At 43.9% G+C, this 19,888-nt stretch overlaps 1 protein-coding gene, 1 long non-coding RNA gene and 1 pseudogene across 4 annotated transcripts in view, besides 3 other annotated features; 2 read left to right on the top strand and 1 right to left on the bottom strand.

The window, feature by feature from the left end:
• Positions 1–2,137, bottom strand: part of CCDC126 (coiled-coil domain containing 126) — a 47,327-nt gene extending 45,190 nt beyond the window's left edge. For both annotated transcript variants that reach the window (XM_017012775.3, NM_138771.4), the window contains exons 1-2: positions 1,914–2,137; positions 1,468–1,552 (exon numbers count right to left, since the gene is read on the bottom strand). The gene's annotated coding sequence lies outside the window, so the exon portion shown is untranslated. The remainder of the gene's footprint in view (positions 1–1,467; positions 1,553–1,913) is intronic.
• Positions 1,656–1,895: a silencer, noted in NCBI's record as "silent region_18014". NCBI's record gives its function as "represses an Ori minimal core promoter by ATAC-STARR-seq in GM12878 lymphoblastoid cells {active_cell/tissue: GM12878}" and the evidence as "EXISTENCE:reporter gene assay evidence [ECO:0000049][PMID:35858748]".
• A 56-nt stretch (positions 2,138–2,193) lies between the features above and the next one.
• LOC105375187 (uncharacterized) lies at positions 2,194–12,825 on the top strand. Its single transcript, XR_927098.2, has 2 exons — positions 2,194–2,402; positions 12,634–12,825. It is a non-coding gene; the product is annotated as an uncharacterized LOC105375187 (long non-coding RNA).
• Positions 5,728–5,777: an enhancer, noted in NCBI's record as "active region_25738". NCBI's record gives its function as "activates an Ori minimal core promoter by ATAC-STARR-seq in GM12878 lymphoblastoid cells {active_cell/tissue: GM12878}" and the evidence as "EXISTENCE:reporter gene assay evidence [ECO:0000049][PMID:35858748]".
• A 166-nt stretch (positions 12,826–12,991) lies between the features above and the next one.
• On the top strand, positions 12,992–14,803 carry CLK2P1 (CDC like kinase 2, pseudogene 1; annotated as a pseudogene). The gene has a single exon (NR_002711.3). The product of NR_002711.3 is annotated as a CDC like kinase 2, pseudogene 1 (transcript).
• Positions 18,366–18,557: a silencer, noted in NCBI's record as "fragment chr7:23620581-23620772 (GRCh37/hg19 assembly coordinates)". NCBI's record gives its function as "represses an EF-1alpha promoter that drives an FKBP-Casp9 reporter gene in an ReSE screen in phorbol 12-myristate 13-acetate-treated (for megakaryocytic differentiation) K562 erythroleukemia cells {active_cell/tissue: K562(+PMA)}" and the evidence as "EXISTENCE:reporter gene assay evidence [ECO:0000049][PMID:32094911]".

Raw genomic sequence — 19,888 nt, 5'->3', positions numbered from 1 at the left:
AAAAAAAAAACAACAAAACCTATATATATACATATACATAGACACACACTATGCAGCACTAGATACTTCAATCACAGAGCTTCACCTGTCACAGCCGTGGCCAATCATGTTTTGTGCCACATGTCCCCACCTCCCCTTCCAAAGCCAACTAGGCTAGCATCTCTGGCCTCAAACAAAGAGGCCCCAGGGAAAACCAGGCAGTTGGCAGAAGGAGCTGAAGGAGAAGTCATGAAAATAAATAATAAAGTTGGATGAGGGGATTGACAAGCTAAAGTTATGAAGAATCAGGCACAACAGGTATAGGGGCTATGAGCAAAAGATACAGAGTAGGGAGAAAGAGAACAAAGCATGTCAAAAATGCAGAGAAACTGTGCAGCTCATGAGAGAGTGATAACTGGCTGGTAGAGATTCTTATTTCTGGCAGCTTTCTTGTTCTCTTAAATGTATTCCTTCTTTCAAGGTAGTTTGAAAGAATTATATGACCTGAAGCAGGAAGAAACACTAAGAACACAAATGACTAAAAGGGTTTACACAAATTTTGTTTCCACATTTAAAAAAAAACCTCTAAAAACCTTTATCATTGAAAGTCTGAGCTAGAAGAGTCCTTGGAATCAGACCAATTCACTATTTTAGAGATGAGGACATTGAGGACCACAAAGTAATCTCAGGTTACACAGATAGTGACAGAGCAAGGACAAAACTAAGGACTCCTATTTCCGTAGCCATTACTCTCTGTCCTACACTGCACTAAATAACACCAACATAGAAACATTTTCCTCAAAACAAGTATTTTTGCAACACATTTTAGAGTGAGAAATTATTAATCAGTGAGAAGATGCAGACAGATGTAGAAAAAAGTTGACCCAGGTTAAATATGGTGAAGCCCAGAGGCAGGACTGTAAAATACCTGGATGCCTACTCTGACGAAACAAACACTTAGCGCCTCTAAGGATTCCCAAAGGACACACCTGAGGGGGAGGGGAGAGGTGAATACTTGTACCTCTGAAGCTGATCCACAGAAAAGCAGAGTCATCAATTTCCTAAGAACATTCTCAGCCATCTTAAAACAGCAAAAATTAGGAAGACGGCATATTTTAATGAATCCTTTGGTTAGGTTTAAGATAAAGTGAAGAACACACAACCCAGGATGATTAAACAAACAAAAGCACAAAACTCAAGTCCAGAGGCCACTTCGGTCACTTCAGTCATAGCTAATGAAAGTATCACAAAGGATCTTTTCATCAAATGAAGAACTAATGACGTTATAGGTCTATATTCCTAATTCTAACCACTTACAGGTGTGTGTTTTGATGGATGAGAAAACTCAAGCTTAGAGCCTTTAAGTAACCAAGATCACCAAGGCAGGCAGTGAGAGAAACCCAGGCAGGATTCGAACCCTAGCTGGCTGAGCCATTCTCATTACCGTCACAGTCAACAATCAACACGGCAGTTTAAGTTCATCCTTACCAGTCACCCAGGAGATGAGTTTTGAAGAGGGAGTTTAAAAGGGGCATCTGACTTTCTCTCTCTCCCAAAGTAGAAGAGAACTGAGCTGTCAAAAACAGAAAAAGAAGTGAGTGCGGTGCCGCCCGGGATCTACATCCCGCAGCTCCGGACCAAGCCCGCCCCGCTCGACTCGCGCAGCCCCAGCCACGCTCGGCTCTCCGCCCGAGCCGAGGCGCCGCGGCTGTCAGACGCGGAGGGGCAGAGACGCGGCCCAAAGGAAGGGACAAAGAGCCTTCCCGGCCGCGGCCGGAGGCTGCCGGCCCGTTCCTAAGCCGGGTTTCCGCAGCAGCGGCCCTAGCGGGGCGGGGACCGGGGACGGGGGCGCGGCGGGGGAGGAGCGGCCGGCTAGGCTGAGGGGCGCGCGAGAGGTGCGGGCCCGGCTGGCGGACTCGCCCCTTACTCATTACCTGGCCGTGGGCTTCTCGTCACGGTCGCCGCCGCCACGGAGCTTCTGAGCCGGGGCGACGCAGCGAGAGCTAATAAGCGGGCGTCAGCTGCGTCCCACACTGGCGAAGCAGCCTCCAGATCGAGCTGGAGAAACGCCGGTGGGTGGGAGTTGGGACGAGGTTTGTTCCCAGCTTGTGGAGATTTTACTCCGCTCGTCCCTCGCACTCGGCTTCCGCTCCGCCTCCCTGCCGGCCCTTCCCGCACTCGGGGGCCAGCCGCCCGCGGCGCGCGGCATTGTGGGGGATGTAGTCCCAGAATGAGGAAGCGGCGGCACGTGCTTCCAGCCGCCCTGCACCTACCCTGGGTCAGAACGACGCAGCTGCGCGGCAACCAGAGAGGGCGGCGGGGTCTTCTGTGTTGGAAGATGAGCCCGCCAGAGGCATACCCTCGGCCTTAACTCGCTGCAGGCGCTGGAAGAAGGGCTCTGGCGTCTTGTTCCCGACCCTCCGGTGAGGAACCAACCTCCTAATACTATTGACCTGAGGCTGGGAAAGCTTAGTGATGATTAAGTGTGCTACAGATGAGACTACCCATTATTGAAGCCAAAGGTCCTTAGCCAGTGGAGTGAGGCAAGAAAAATAAAAGGATTGAAGATTAAATAGGAAGAAACAAAATTATTTTTTCATAGATTATGTAATTATGTACGTGGAGGCCGGGCGCCGTTGGCTCATGCCTGTAATCCCAGCAGTTTGTGAGGCCAAGACGGGAGGATCACCTGAGGTCGGGAATTCGAGACCAGCCTGGCCAACATGGTGAAACCCCGTCTCTACTACAGATACGAACTTAGCAGGGCGAGGTGGCGGACGCCTGTAATTCCAGCCTCTCGGGGAGCTGAGGCGGGAGAATTGCTTGAACCCAGGAGGCGGAGGTTGCAGTGAGCTGATATCGCGCCACTGCACTCCAGCCTGGGCAACAAGAGCAGAACTCCGTCTCAAAAAAAAAAAAAAATTGTTTGTGGCACTTCAAAACAATCTGCAGATAAACTGTTAACAATAAAAGTTTTTAACAAGGTTAATAGATACAAAAATCATATTTTAAAAAATCAATATTTATTTATATATGCTAGTAAAAAAGATAATTTTTTTAAAGATACCATTTCCAACAGCTCCAAACAAATATCAAGTACCTAGGAATAAATCGATCAAAGAAATGCAAAACCTGCCTGAAGAAAACATTGGAAGACACTGAAGAAGACCTAAATAAAGATGTAACATGTTCATAAATTGGAAGAGTCAATACTGAAAAATGCCAAGTCTCTCCAAACCTACCTACAGAGCCAGTGCAATTCCCAACAAAATCTCAATAAATTTCTGTGTATGTGTGAGAAACTTGACAAGCTAATTCAAAATGTTATGGAAGAGCAAAGACAAGCATTCATGAGGAAGAGGAGGAAGAAAAAAAAAGAAGAGGAGAAGGAGTGGGAGGAGGAAAACTTGTGCTACCGGATAACAAGCTTTATTATAGACTAGGCACGGTGGCCCATGCCTATGATCTCAGCACTTCGGGAGGCTGAGGCAAGTGGATTGCTTGAGCCTGGAGTTCAAGACCAGCCTGGGCAACATGGCAAAACCCCATCTGTACCCCCCAAAAAAATACCAAAGTCAGCCAGTTGTGGTGGCATGCACCTATAGTCCCTGCTACTCAAGAGGCTGGGGGCAGGAGGATCACTTTGAGCCCAGGAGGTGGAGTCTGCAGTGAGCCATAATTGTGCCACTGCACTCCAGCCTGGGCGACAGCAAGCCTCTTCCTCAAAAACAAAACAAAACAAAACAAAAACAAGCTTTATTTTAAAGCTGTCAACCTAAATAATAGGACCTCTAAAAGAAAAAGACACTCACTTAAGAATAGGGCATTGCAATGGGAATATACATGCCACAGTAAACTCTGTGTGTATTCAGGGAGGTAAAGGAAGACAAAGAAAAAATGAGGAGGATTAAATAATTGCTTTGAAATTATTATGCTTGGCTACAAGGATCAATAATAAGGGTGACTCCAGTTCTAGGTTCAACAGGCAGTTGCTGGGCAGATGTCCACACAGAAGTACTTGTTGTGTAAGGTTGCAGTGGTCTTTATGTAAGGTTGTGGTTTTTGCAGAGTCTTTTGCAATAGTTTAGTTATCAGGTATACACATGTGAAAGCCTTCCCTTCTTAGCCTTCCCCAGCTCTGTCAGGGTGTTTTGTTTTTAACACAAGTGACTCCATTTTGATTCTGACAATTTTCACATTTCCCTTTTTTGATCAAGAGCTTTCTCAGAATGCATCACTGATCAGTCATTTTGTAGTTACATTCTGATGTCCCTGGAGGCCAGGTTGAACCTGTCCTGGTTGCTGGTTTCTTCCCTCATTGTGGGGAGTGATTGGTGATGAGTCAGTGTCAAAAACCATTAAGCCATATTTGGGCAATAAGGGAGGTTTGAAGAAAATGGCTCTCAGGCTAAGTCTACCTGGAGTTTATTATTGAGGTCTATAGTCTTTGGCTGTCATCTCAAAGTGCTGGCCCAGCATTATTTTGTTAAGACCTATACTTCTGCAAAAATTTAACAAGTAACAGATACAAAGTTTAAAAAAGGAAAAATATAAAGTAAAATGATAATCTCAGTTTGCTTAATAGTTTTGAGCCATGAACCTAGGCTTAACCAGCTGAATAAATGAAATGACCATGAAGGATTAAGTGAGACCTGTTGTAACGTTTCATAAACCCATCAGTTTTTTAAGTGTGCATGAGAATGGGCCATCAAATATAGCTGGTTGGAGTCCCAGAAAACTTGGCATGCCTTAATGTTTGAAAATCCCAGGCAGAGTACAGTGGCTTACATTTATAATCTTGACACTTTGGGAGGCTAAGGCAGGAGGATCTCTTGAGGCCAGGAGTTTGAGACAGCCTGAGCAACATAGTGAAACACCGTCTCTTCAAAACAAAACAAAACAAAAAAAGTAGCTGGGCATGGTGGCGTGTACCTGTAGTCCTAGCTACTTGAGCCTAGGGGTTCAAGGCTGCAATGATCTATGATTGCATCACTGAACTCCAGCCAGGGAGACAGAGTGAGACTCTGTTTCTTAAAAAAAAAAAGAAAGAAAGAAAAATTAAGAAAACCCCATTACATTACTTATCAATCTCTCAAGAGCAAAGAAAATTATCAATCTTGTCAGAATGTCATAAGTTTGGACCAATGTATTTGATGGTAGCAACCACTCTAGTGGCTTTTACTTAGCCATCCTGTGTCCATCATTTAGAATGTGTCCATTCTAAAAGAATGTTTATTTTTGCTCTCAGAAGATTTTCAGAAACAAGCAAGGGAAAAGAGCAACATAAAGGGAAAAGAACAACAAAAAAGTTGCATGTAACCAAAATAAAACCAAGAAAGTTCATAAAAATTTTAACCCAGGCATGTGGATCAGACAAAATATTAAAGTAGGCACACAGACCAAAAGTAAATTCATCAGAAAAGATATGCCTCACAGACAGAATGGAAATTCTGTAGAAATCAGAAAAGACTTCCCAGAAAATACAAAAAGTCTTTGTTTAATCCCAGGAGGGATGTAAAGTCCTTTATTTAGGGCTGCCTTATTCAAATCAGACCCCAAATAAAGTCAAGAGCTTCTACCATAAAGAAGGGGGCGTGGTCTTAGAGAAGACTCATCAGGGCAGAAAAAGTGAGCCATGGAAGCAGAGAACTGAAATGAGTACTGCACCAGATTCAAGAACTGTCAGTTCCTTGTGATAGTGATCTTTTTTCAGGTCCTGTTTCTGGCACCATTTGTGTCAACCTAAACAACAGAGAGAGGCTCTCTAAAAGAAAAATATGTTTATTTGGGAATAGGGCATTGCAATGGGAATACACATGCCACAGTAAACTATGTGTGTATTCAAGGAGGTAAAGGAAGACAAAGGTTTTTACAGGAAAAATTAGGGGCATTACATAATTGTTTTGAAATTATCCTTGGCTACAAGAATCTATAATAACAAGGGTGGCTCGAGTCTGAGGTTAGACAGACAATTGCTGAGCAGATATCCTCATAGAAGTACGTTTTGTGTAAGGTTACAATGACCATTGTTAATGTTGTGATTTTCCAGAGTCTTCTGTGGTAATTTTGTTATCAGGCATGCAAGTGTGAGAATGCTCTCTTCTTAGGTTTCCTGGCTGTATTTGTCAGGGTCTTTGGGGAATTTTTACACAAATGATTCCATTTTGATACTGTCAACTTTCATAGTAATTAAGGCAGTGTGGAAGGAGATCAAAAATAGACAAATCTACCAGTAATACAGAATAGAGAGCCCAGTGACCTGGGTGTGGTGGTGCACACCTGTAGCCCCAGCTATTTGGGAGGCTGAGACAGGAGGATCACTTGGGCCCAGGAGTTTGAGACTGCCTGGCAATGCAAAGCAACACCTAAAGAACACTTTTCAATGATTGAATGGCACTGGAACAAATAGTGCTCTATTTGGAAAAGAAATGAAATTGGACTCTTCACATTATACACAAAAGTCAATTTCAGGTAACTAACAGACACTTTTTTTATTTTTAAGAGACAGGGTCTCGCTTTGTTGCCCAGACTGAAGTGTAGTGCTGTGATCATAGCTTACTGCAGCCTCAAACTCCCGGGCTCAAGCAACCCTCCCAAGCAGCTAGGACTACCAGCATGTGCCACCAAGCCCAAGTAATTTTTTTTAAGAGACGGGATCTTGCTGTGTTGTCCAGGCTGGTCTCAAACTCCTGCCTCGGCCTCCCAAAGTGCTGGATTACAGGAGTGAGTCATGATGCCCAGCTGAAACATAAATTTTAAAGGCAGAAGAATGAAGCTATCTATCTGCAGACTTTAAAGTGAGAAGGAAAAAAAAGAAATAATGCTTTTATTGTTTTTAAAGATAATAAAACAGTATATTGATCTCAAGGGTAAGGGGACAGACTTTTTAAACGAATCCAAAAAGCACTACCTATAATAGGAAAATAGGTAAATTTGACCACATTAACATTAAGACAGCCAGGCTCAATGGCTCACGCCTGTAATCCCAGCATTTAGGGAGGCTGAGGCAGGCGGATCACCTGAGGTCAGGAGTTCAAGACCAGCTGGCCAACATGGTGAAACCCCATCTCTACAAAAATACAAAAATTAGCTGGGCAAGGTGGTGCATGCCTGTAATCCCAGCTACTCAGGAGGCTAAGGCAGGAGAATTGCTTGAACCCGGGAGGCAGAGGTTGCAGTGAGCTGAGATCGCGCCATTGCACTCCAACCTGGTGACTGAGCGAGATTCTGTCTCAAAACAAAACAAAACAAAACAAAACAAAACAAAAACAAAAAAAAACATTAAGACTTGGTTTTATCAAATTACACCATTAAAAGAGTTAAAAGGCAAGCCTCACAGATGATTAAGAAATTTACAATATGGGCCAGATGCAGTGGCTCACTCCTATAACCCCAGCATTTTGGGAGGCCAAAGCGGGTGGATCACCTGAGGCCAGGAGTTTGAGACCAGCCTGGACAACATAGTGAAAGCCTGTCTCTACTAAAAATACAGAAATTAACCGGGTGTGGTGGCGGGCACCTGTAATCCCAGCTACTCAGAAGGCTGAGGCAGGAGAATTGCTTGAACCCGGGAGGCGAAGGTTGCAGTAAGCCGAGGTCGCGCCATTGTACTCCAGCCTGGGTGATAAGAGCGAAACTCCATCAAAAAGAAAGAGAGAGAGAAAGAAAGAAATTTGCAACATGTATAACCAAGAAAGGTCTTGTATCTAGAATATATAAAGAACTATAATCATTAAGAAAAAGAGTTCAGGCCGAGCACGGTGGCTCACACCTGTAATCCCAGCATTTTGGGAGGCCGAGGTGGGCAAATCACTTGAGGCCGGGAGTTCAAGACCAGCCTGGGCAACATGGCGAAACCCTGTCTCTACTAAAAATACAAAAACTAGCCCAATGTGCTGATGCATGCCTGAAGCCAAGGTTGCAGTAAGCAGAGATCACGCCACTGCACTCCAGCCTGTACGACAGAGCAAGACACTGTCTCAAAAAAGAAAGAAAGAAAAGAAAAGAAAAAGAAAAAGAGCTGGCCGGGCGCGGTGGCTCACACCTGTAATCCCAGCACTTTGGGAGGCCGAGGCGGGCGGATCACGAGGTCAGGAGATTGAGACCATCCTGGCTAACATGGTGAAACCCCGTCTCTACTAAAAATAAAAAAAATCAGCCGGGTGTGGTGGCACGCACCTGTAGTCCCAGCTACTCGGGAGGGCGAGACAGGAGAATCACTTGAACCCTGGAGGCGGAGGTTGTAGTGAGCTGAGATCACACCACTGAGCTCCAACTCCAGCTTGGGCGACAGAGTGAGACTTGGTCTCAAAAAAAAAAAAAGAAAAAGAGCTGAACAGGCTCTTAACTAAGGAAGAAATCCAAATAACCGATAAACATATGAAAAAGCATCAACCTCATATGAGGATAAGAAAATTTAAATCACAATGAGAGAATAACACGCCACCCACCAGAATGGCTAAAACAGAAAAAGATTGACGATTACAAATGTTGATCACAGTGGAGCAATGGTAATTCTCATACTTTGCCATAGGTAAAGTAAACTAATACAGCAGTTCGGAAAAAGGAACAAGCTACATTCGACAATAGAGATGAATCTTAAAAACTTAATATTAAGAAAAGGAAACTATTCACAAAATAATATATACTGTGTTATTCCATTTTTGTAAGGTTCAAAAACAGGAAAAAAGGATGTATACTTAGGTGTTAAAACTGTAAAGAAAAGCAAGGAATTGATCATCATAAAAGGGAGGTTAGTGGCTACCTCTGAGACCAAAGGAGCCCTGTGAGGAGGGATTTGAGACTGCAAAGAGGAAGTGGGGTTGTAATTCTACAAATCTTCTATTCCTTGGTATGGGTGGTAGTTACACTGCTGTGGGCTTTGTAATAATTCATTAGAGTATGTATTTATTGTTTATGCATTTTTCCACATATGTGTTACGTTTCCCAGTTTAAAAAATAAAATAGTAGGGGTCTGGAGTCAGATTGCCTTCATTCAATTCTAAGACCTACAACTGTGTAACCTTGGGCAAGCTCCATAGCCTCTCTAAGCCTCCGTTTCCCATCTGCAAAGTGTCAGTAATAAGAGTACATCAAAAGGATATTGTGAGGATTACAATGAGAATGTGAGCTGATGTGTATAAAGTAGTTTTCACAGTACCGCCGTCCCTTGGTATCCATGGGGGATTGATTCCAGGACCCCATAGGATAACAGAATCTGCGGATGCTCAAGTCTCGCAGTTGGCTGTCCGTATCCACAGGTTCTGCATCCACTATTATCATTGTAAGCACACTAAAGCATTAAAGAAAGACACTGAAACAAGTAACTTATGCAATGGTCCTTTATGCTAAAGTATGTATGTTAAGCCAATGGCCTATATTTGATTCTAAACACCTCACTATTCACTGTTTCCAAACACTTGTAGTGGCACTCAATAAATACATTGGGCCGGGCGCGGCGGCTCACGCCTGTAATCCCAGCACTTTGGGAGGCCAAGGCGGGCAGATCACGAGGTCAGAAGATTGAGACCATCCTGGCTAACACGGTGAAACCCCGTCTCTACTAAAAATACAAAAAATTAGCCAGGCATGGCAGCGTGCGCCTGTAATCCCAGCTACTCGGGAGGCTGAGGCAGGAGAATGGCGTGAACCCGGGAGGCGGAGCTTGCAGTGAGCCGAGATCGCGCCACTGCACTCCAGCCTGGGTGACAGAGACTCCGTCTCAATAAATAAATAAATAAATAAATAAATAAATAAATAAATAAATAGTGAATGGCCAGGCATGATAGTTCACACCTTTAATCCCAGCACTTTGGGAGGCCGAGGCCGGTGGATCACCTGAGATCAGGAGTTCAAGACCAGCCTCGTCAACATAGCGAAACCCAGTCTCTACTAAAATACAAAAATTAGCTGGGCGTGGTGGCAGTGCCTGTAATGCCAACTATTCAGGAGGCTGAGGCAGGAGAATTGCTTGAACCCAGGAGGCAGAGGTTGCAGTGAGCCGAGATCACGCCACTGCACTCCAGCCTGGGCAATAGAAACAAAACAAAAACAAAAACAAATTGTGAATAAATGAATTATCACTTCTCAGCCTTTTGGCTAAGATTAAGTGTGAATGAATGAATTTTTCTGCTAACCCCAGTACATAAATCTCTGGACACTGTATCTATTTGATACATGTTGATTGGCTCTCTGACAGAGGTTTTCCTGGCCTCTGTCTAACGATTCATGTAACGCTACTTTCAAGTTTCCTGTCACTTCCATTCTATTCCACACCTTGGTAGACAAGAGTATATTAATTTGGAAGGTTCAAGAGATTAAAATAAGAATAATAAAAATAATTGTTGTCTTTTATAGCACTTTTCACTTTAGAAACCATTTTCCTAGAAGTAATGGGATGTATTGCCAAACTCTGCCCACTCATCTGTCAAAGAAAGACCTAGAATCAGAAGAACATAATTAGCTGCTCAAATTAATTCAATCAGAGTTGAAGCCATTCCTTTCTGGAATCAAGGAGAAAAACCACAGCCAACTCGTATCAGGCCCCAGATAGGAAAGTGCCACCTTCCTCAATGCCATAATAGGGGAGAAACTAGTCTATCCCTAAAAGGCAAGCTCAGAATATCATGGTAACAAGAAAAAATAGCCTTTCCAGAGGTTAATGGCTGTCTCTGAGGAAAAGAGTTAGAAACTGAACTGGGAGAAAAAATTGGAATTGGAGTACCTACTTCCATATATATTTTTTTCTTTTTCTTTTTCTTTTTTTTCTTTTTTTTTTTGAGACAGGGTCTCATTCTGTCACCAGGCTAGAGTGCAGTGGCGTGATCTCGGCTCACTCGCAGTCTCAACTTGCCAGAGCCAAGCCATCCTCCCTCCTCAGCCTCCTGATCAGCTGGGACCACAAGTGAACACCATCATGCTCAGCTAATTTTTTGTATTTTTTTAGTAAAGATGGGGTTTCACCATGTTTCCCGGGCTGGTCTTGAACTCCTGGTTTAAAGTGATCCACCCACCTCAGCCTCTGAAAGTTCTGGGATTACACACGTGAGCCACCATGTTCAGCCTACATTCTTATTTATAAGGCAGAATATGACACAGCTCAGTCCTGAAGTATTCCTCAGATTTCCTGAGCCCATGAAAAGAACTCCGGACTAACCTCGTGGGGAAACAGTGGCTCTTTACTGAAGGCAGAGGAGGCTCTTTTCTGAGAATTTGAAGTTTGGAGCAGAACAGTAGGAAAGAGAGACAAGGACAAGTAAGAAGTTAAGTAAGGGAGGTGGGCTGATCACCTGAGGTCAGGAGTTCAAGGCCAGCCTGGCCAACATGGTGAAACCCCGTTTCCATTAAAAATACAAAAAATTAGCTGGGCATGCTGTCAGATACCTGTAATCCCCAGCTACTCAGGAGGCTGAGGCAGGAGAATCATTTGAACCTGGGAGGCAGAGGTTGCAGTGAGCTGAGAATCATGCCAGTGCACTCTAGACTGGGTGATGGAGCAAGACTCTGTCTCAAAATAAATAAATAAATAAATAAGGGCTGGGCATGGTGACTCACGCTTTTAATCCTCATACTTTGGGAGACCCAGGCAGGAGGATCACTTGAGGCCAGAAGTTCGAGACCAGCCTGGACAATATGGTGAAATCTCATCTCTACTAAAAATACCAAAATTAGGCCAGGCACAGTGGCTCAAGCCTGTAATCCCAGCACTTTGAGAAGCTGAGGTGGGTGGATCACAAAGTCAGGAGCTCAAGACCAGCCAGGCCAAGATGGTGAAACCCCATCTCTACTAAAAATACAAAAAAAAAAAAAAAATCCAGGAGTGGTGGTGGGTGCCTGTAATCCCAGCTACTCAAGAGGCTAAGGCAGAGAATTGCTTGAACCCAGGAGGAAGAGATTGCAGTGAGCCAAGATGGCGCCACTGCACTCCAGCCTGGAAGACAGAGTGAGACTCCATCTCAAAAAAAAATAATAATACAAAAATTAGTTGTTAGTTTAGTTGCTGCCTAAAAGCAAGACTAGGCTCTCATGGAGGTACAATGGGGCTGGACGCGGTGGCTCACGCCTGTAATTCCAGCACTTTGGGAGGCCAAGGCAGGCAAATCACGAGGTCAGGAGATCGAGACCAGCCTGGCCAACATGGTGAAACCCCGTCTCTACTGAAAAAAAAAAAAAAAATAGCCGGGCGTGGTGGCTCATGCCTGTAATCCCAGCTACTCAGGAGGCTGAGGCAGGAGAATTGCTTGAACCTAGAAGGCAGAGGTTGCAGTGAGTCGAGATTCAGCCACTGCACTCCAGCTTTGGCGACAGAGCAAGACTACATCTAGGCGGTGTCGGGGGGAAGAAGTAAAATGGACAGCAGCAAACCACAGGTGTGATAGGAGAGAATACTGAGCTGAGATCAGTCTCCTAAAATTTGAATCCGATTTCAGGATCATTCATTTATCTGACTGTCAAGAATGCCTCTGAACAGGAGGAAGACTTTGGGGAGAGGGTGGGGTTTGTTGAAAGAGCACTGAGAAGGGAGGGGGGTGGTACCCAAACAATTTGTTTACATAATGTTTTTTGGACCTGAAATATGTAGAAAAGTACTTTGAAACTAAAGTACTGTACTGAAGTTTAATATTTTTCTTATTGTTTGCATATTCTCCCTCCCAGATAATTTACAGAGGGCACTAAAGCTGATCCCCTGGGAGCTTCAGAATTTAATGACTTCGCCTGACGATTTCCTATTCTTTTCCACAATGTGCTAAGTCAAATTATGGCCAAATTACCAATCGCATGGTAATTCAGCTTCTAAATATATTTTGCAGAGTGTTTCCAAAAGTTAAAAAAAAAAAAAAAACTTCACCTAAATTGTTTTTACTTGCTTCACCTTAAATCAGTTATTCGGTTCCTTTGAAGAACATGTTGCTTTAGCAACCCCCAAAGTGAATCCAGATACCCAGGACTACTGATTGTTACATCAGAGTTTTTGAAAACGCCAATACTGGAAACAGGCCGACAGTTAAGGAGAGGCGGGCGGGACTGAAGCAGAGCCCGAGAACGGGGCTGGAGGTCCCAGGGTCCCGGGTTGGTGGGGGTGGAGCAGCACTTCATCGCCGCGGGGGTGCTGGGACTCCGGCCGCAGTGCCGCCGCCATCATGGACTTCCTGTGGGACAAGCGCACGGGCCTGGCCGCCAGAAAGATGCCTCATCCTCGAAGGTACCATTCCTCAGAGCGAGGCAGCCGGGGGAGTTACTGTGAACACTATCGGAGCCGAAAACAAGCAACGAAGAAGCCGTTCCTGGTCAAGTAGTAGTGACCGGACACGACGGCGCCGGCGAGAGGACAGCTACCATGTCCGGAGGAGGTGCAGCCGGACATTTAGCCGCTCGTCTTCGCAGCACAGCAGCCGGAAAGCCAAGAGTGTAGAGGACGACACTGAGGGCCACCTCATCTACCATGTCGGGGACTGGCTACAAGAGCGATATGAAATCGTCAGCACCTTAGGAAAGGGGACCTTCGGCCGAGTTGTACAATGTGTTGACCATCGCAGGCGTGGGGCTCGAGTTGCCCTGAAGATCATTAAGAATGTGGAGAAGTATAAGGAAGCAGCTCGACTTGAGATCAAAGTGCTGGAGAAAATCAACGAGAAAGACCCTGGCAAGAACCTCTGTGTCCAGATGTTTGACTGGTTCGACTACCATGGCCACATGTGTATCTCCTTGGAGCTTCTGGGCCTTAGCACCTTCGATTTCCTCAAAGACAACAACCACCTGCCCTACCCCATCCACCAAGTGCACCACATGGCCTCCCAGCTGTGCCAGGCTGTCAAGTTCCTCCATGATAACAAGCTGACACATACAGACCTCAAGCCTGAAAATATTCTGTTTGTGAATTCAGACTATGAGCTCACCTACAACCTAGAGAAGAAGCGACATGAGCGCAGTGTGAAGAGCACAGCTGTGCGGGTGGGAGACTTTGGCAGTGCCACCTTTGACCATGAGCACCATAGCACCATTGTCTCCACTCGCCATTACCGAGCACCAGAAGTCATCCTTGAGTTGGGTTGGTCACAGCCTTGTGATGTGTGGAGTATAGGCTGCATCATCTTTGAGTACTATGTGGGCTTCACCCTCTTCCAGACCCATGACAACAGACAGCATCTAGCCACGATGGAAAGGATCTTGGGTCCTATCCCTTCCCGGATGATCCGAAAGACAAGAAAACAGAAATATTTTTACCGGGGTCGCCTGGATTGGGATGAGAACACATCAGCTGGACGCTATGTTCGTGAGAACTGCAAACCGCTGCGGCAGTATCTGACCTCAGAGGCAGAGGAAGACCACCAGCTCTTCGATCTGATTGAAAGCATGCTAGAGTATGAACCAGCTCAGCGGCTGACCTTGGGTGAAGCCCTTCAGCATCCTTTCTTCTCCCGCCTTTGGGCTGAGCCACCCAACAAGTTGTGGGACTCCAGTCAGGATATCAGTCCGTGACCACCAGGCCCTGGGCCTCCCTGCATCTTTTATAGCAGTGAGTGTCCAGTCCAGGACATTGGTGCTTTTTTATAAAAGAGAACAGAGCCAGAGTTCACTCCTTCCTGCTGCTTCTCTATATACCTGTGAATATGTGAAACAGTAAATATGAAAGAACTTGTACCTATCACTTCAACCCCTGCGTTGTACATAATGCTATTCCATCTACACACTTTCCACCCTCACCTGCCCCCTCATACAGAGTTGGATGGGGGCCGAGTGAGGTAACCAGGTGGCATCTACCCCATGTTTTATAAGGAATTTTGTACAGTCTTTGTGAAATGAAATAACATGCTTCATTTGACCCGCCCCCCAAAAAATTAGTTGGGCGTAGTGGTGCACACCTGTGGTTCCAGCTCCTCAGGAAGCTTACACAAAAAGATTGCTTGAGCCTGGGAGGCAGAGGTTACAGTGAGCCAAGATTATGCCACTGCACACTAGCCTGGGTGATAGAGCGAGACCCTGTCTCAAAAATTTAAAAAAAAAAAAAAAAAAAGTGAAGTGAGCCTCCCTAAAGGGCACCATTGTTGGGAAGGCCTAAATCTGGAAGTGCCTTCCACTGATCCTTCAGTGAGGAGTGCCTGACCCTTCATGGAAGTTCTCTTTTTCCACATAATAATAGTCCAAAAGGTTTCATATGGAGGAGTCTTGACAGGTCAGGGGAGGGAGAGGCCCAACCTGCCTCTTAGGGTTTGGTAGGGTTTGGGAATGTGAGAGAGGCCTGTTAACCATGAGAAAAACTCCTAATCCAAAGTAAAATAAAGAAAAGAGTTTGGGCCAAGACAAACATTTTAATTCTCTATGCCTTGTGCTGGGAACTCATCTTGCCCCAATTCAAATGTAAGCCTTCCTTATAGAAAGTAATTTTTTTTTTTTGAGACAGAGTTTTGCTCTTGTTGCCCAGGCTGGAGTGCAATGGCATGATCTCGGCTCACCGCAACCTCCACCTCCCAGGTTCAAGTGATTCTCCTGCCTCAGCCTCCCAAGTAGGTGGGATTACAGGCATGCACCACCACTCCCAGCTAATTTTGTATTTTCAGTAGAGACGGGGTTTCTCCATGTTGGTCAGGCTCGCCTCGGACGCCCGACCTCAGGTGATCTGCCCTGCCTCAACCTCCCAAAGTGCTAGAATTACAGGCATGAGCCACCACACCTGGCCTAGAAAGTAAATCTTAATCTTTAAAACTCCCAGATATAAAGGGCAAAAAGGCAAAGGTGAACATTCAAGTAAGATCATAATGACTATTATTTTTCCTAGCAGACTCAATGTCATGCTCACACACATTCAGTGAGATGGATTTTAACCAAACAGAAGGCACAAATATGTATCTTTTCTCACTAATTTGCCTGACGGCAAAAATTACCTACGTTGTGTTCATTATTATAAAATTCAAAATAATTACCCCATGTAAAGTAAATGAAATGATGAATGCTATTTTATTTAAAACTCATTACTATAACTTTTTTCCATATAAGGAGCTAGGTTTAGAAATTAAAGTCTCCGAATAGGCCGGGCATGGTGGCTCATGCCTGTAATTCCAACACTTTGGGAGACTGGGGCAGAAGGATGGCTTTTGGCCAGGAGTTCAAGGCTGCAGTGAGCTATCATAGTGCCATAACACACCAGCCTGGGCAACAGAATGAGACCCTGTCTCTTAAAATATATATATAAATATATATATTTATATATAGTTATATAAATATTTATAAATGTATAAATATCTATATATTTAATATTTATATATGTATAAATATTTATATATAATATATAAATATATTATATATACATATATATATTTTATATATTTATATATTATATATATATTATATATATATATATAATATATATATATATATGGCTGGGCACCGTTGCTTATGCCTGTAATACCAACACTCTGGGAGGCTGAGGCAGGTGGATCAGGAGTTCCAGACCAGCCTGGCCAACATGGTGAAACCCCGTTTCTACTAAAAATACAAAAAATTAGCTGGGCATGGTGTCAGGCACCTGTAATCCCCAGCTACTCAGGAGGCTGAGGCAGGAGATTCGCTTGAACTCGGGAGGCAGAGGTTGCAGTGAGCTGAGCTTGTGCCATTGCACTCCATCCTGGTCAACAAGAGTGAAACTCTGTATCAAAAAAAAAAAAAAGTATATATATGTGTGTTTGATAAATCCCAAGGATAAAGTAATTTTACTTGGCTAATTGCAATTTTATAAACTAAAAGGACAAAAAGGAATAGCTGTGACAGACGTTTCTAATGAATCATCTTTATTGCTGTAAACTCATAGAAAACTGTTAAAATTGTTACTATAGTGAATAATAAAAGGAAAGTATTTTCAAAACTTCCAGGCCAAATTGATGTGCAGAGTTTTCTTAGGTTCCAAAAACTGTAAGGGTAAAGGGACCCATACAAGACTTGAATTCATTCATTCTACACCATCCCTGACATTTGAAGGTCATCCAGCTTAAAACAAAACAAAACAAAACACTCAAGTGATAGTAAACTCACTACTTTCAAAGGAACTTTATTTAATCTTCAGGAAACTTCATTTTTAAAGTTCTTCTGTATATTGAAAAGAAATCTTTCTTCCATCTACCTCTTGGCCTGAGTCCTATCCTTTAGGACCGTACTTTCAGGAACAATTGCTCTTCATGCACCCTCTGCATCTGCTCTTTTCCAAGGTCTATCAGGTTCTTTTTTTTTTTTTTTTTTTTAAGAGACAGGGTCTCCCTATGTTGCCCAGACTGGTCTTGAACTCCTGGGCTCAAGGGATCCTCCTGCCTCAGCCTCCCAAAGTGCTAGGATTACAGGCATGAGCCACCACACCTGGCTCCAAGGCCTTTCAGTTCTGAGGATCAGTGATTTGGGTTGAGTTTGACTGTGTGGTTCTCCTGCCAGTCTTACTTGGAATCACTTATGCCGCTGCAATCATCAGGCAGTCTGACTGGGGCTAGATGGTCTAAGATGACCTCATTCCTTGTATCAAACACTGTTCTGAGCATTTTACTTGCATTATCTCTGTTACTTTCTCAACAACCTAGGAGATAAACCCTATTATTATGTTGTATTAGAAATGAATATAGGTGAAAAAGAAATTTAAAAAAATAAAAAAGAAATGAATATAGTTGATACACTGAACAGGCGGGACTCACAGTTGTATTTGGAAAAACAACTGGCTTTCTTTTCTCCGCTTTTCATTCAAAGCTGCTCTAGAGGGATGGCTTGCTTTAGAAGCAAGCCCTGTGACTTATCTGGTCACTCTTAGATAATAAAAAGTCTGATTTTTGCTGGGCACAGTGGCACACACTTGTAGTCCCAGCTACTCAGGAGGCTGAGACAGGAGGATTATTTGAGCCCAAGAGTTCAGATCCAAGATCCAACCTGGGCAACATTGTGAGACCCCCTCTCTCTTTTTTTTTTTTTTTTTTAAGAGACAGAGTCTCACTCTGTCACTCAGGCTGGAGTGCAGTGATGCCATCACAGCTCATCGCAGCCTCTATCTCCCAGGTTTAAGTGATTCTCCCACTTCAGCCTCCCCAGTAGCAGGGACTACATGCATATGCCACCATGCCTGGCTAATTCTTTTTAATTTTTTGTAGAGATAGGGGTCTCACTGTCTTGCCCAGGCTATTCTTGAATTCCTGGGCTCAAGCAATCCTCCCATCTTGGCCTGCCAAAGTGTTGGGATTACAGGCATGAGCCACCGCGCCTGGGCTTTTTTTTCCTCTCGAGACAGGGTCTGACCAGGCATGGTGGCTCATGCCTGTAATCCTAGCACTTTGGGAGGCCAAGGTGGGAGGATAGCTTGAGCTCAGGAGTTCGAGACCAGGCTGGGCAACATGGTGAGACCTCATCGAAAAAAAAAAAAGAGGGAGGGAGGGAGAGAGACACGGTCTCACACTGTCACCCAGGCCACAGGCCCTCACCACAATGCTCAACTAATTTTTTAATTTTTTGTAGACAGGTTCTCTCCATAGTGCCCAGGCTGGTCTTGTACTCCTGGGCTCAGGGAATCCTCCTGCCTTCACCTCCAAAAATGTTGGGATTACAGGCATCAGCCACCACACCCAGCTATATTTATTTTATTTTTTTTCTTAAATGTTTTTACGTACCCAGGAAAGATCTGAGAGAAGAGTCCTATTTTAACATTCCGTTACATGAGGAAAGTAAGGCTTTAAAATTTTAAATAACTTGTTCTAGGTCACAGATAATAAAAAGAAAAATTGGATTCAAAAATTACTGTCATGGGTACTATGTTCAGAACCTGGGTGATGGGATCAATCATACCACAAACCTCAGCATCATGCAATATAACCAAGTAACAAACCTGCACATGTATCTTCAAATCTAAGATAAAAGTTAAAAAGAATGAAAGAAAGATATTCTTATTTTTCCTTGCAAAAAAATTAGCGTCTTAAATATGCTTACGAATTTCATCTTGGGAGATTTAACCTATTGTTCTGGGATTTATTTTATTTTATTTTATTTTTTGAGACAGTCTTGCTCTGTTGCCCAGGCTGCAGTGCAGTGGTGCCATCATAGCTCACTGCTGCCTTGAACTCCCAGGCTCAAGTGATCCACCCACCCCCACCTGCCCCTGCCTCAGCGTCTTGAGTAGCTAGAACTATAGGCACGCCCCTCCACACCCAGCTAGTTTTTTAAAATTTTTGTAGAGACAGGCTCCTGCTATGTTGCCCAGGCTGGTCTCAAATTCCTGGCCTCAAGTAATCCTCCTGCCTCAGCCTCTCAAAGTGCTGGGAGGCATGAGCCACTGCCCAGCTGGATACAGTGTTTTTTATCACAAAGGTAATACCTATTAATCTTTTTTCAAAAATTCAAACATATAGAAATATAGAAACTGAACATCTCCCATAATCCCATTCTTCAAGACAACTGGTTTATCAAGCGAATAAGTTTTAAAAAGTCACTCAGGGGCATAGAAATGAGATGCTCATACCCCTCAGTTCATGCCCTGCTACTACCATTGATCAGCGCAAGGTTCCTCTTTGTTATTTGTATTATTTATTCCTTCATCCCCATTCTCTTCTCCTTACAGAAACCCACTCCAGTATACTTAATTAAAGCTTCTTCCAATACTCTTTCCTACGTTTATTTAAGTAAATAGTATAGAGTACTGGTTAGGACTCTGAAGACAGTCTTCCTGAGTTCTATTCTGGCTCTGCTACTTACCAGCTACGTGACCACAGGCAACTTGCTTAGTCTCTATATGCCTCAGTTTTTTCATTAAAAAAAATAAAAAAAAATACTAGTACTTACCTCATAGGATTGTTGTAAAGAGTTAATATTTAGTTTAATGAGCTAATACTTATTAAGTGCTTAGAACAGAGTCTGGCACATAGTAGACGCTATATGGTATTAAATAAATGTCAGC

Source organism: Homo sapiens, chromosome 7 (assembly GCF_000001405.40).
Source record: "Homo sapiens chromosome 7, GRCh38.p14 Primary Assembly".
Classification (NCBI taxonomy): domain Eukaryota; kingdom Metazoa; phylum Chordata; class Mammalia; order Primates; family Hominidae; genus Homo; species Homo sapiens.
Note: the sequence above shows the minus strand (reverse complement) of the source record. Positions and strands in the feature narration are given on the sequence as shown.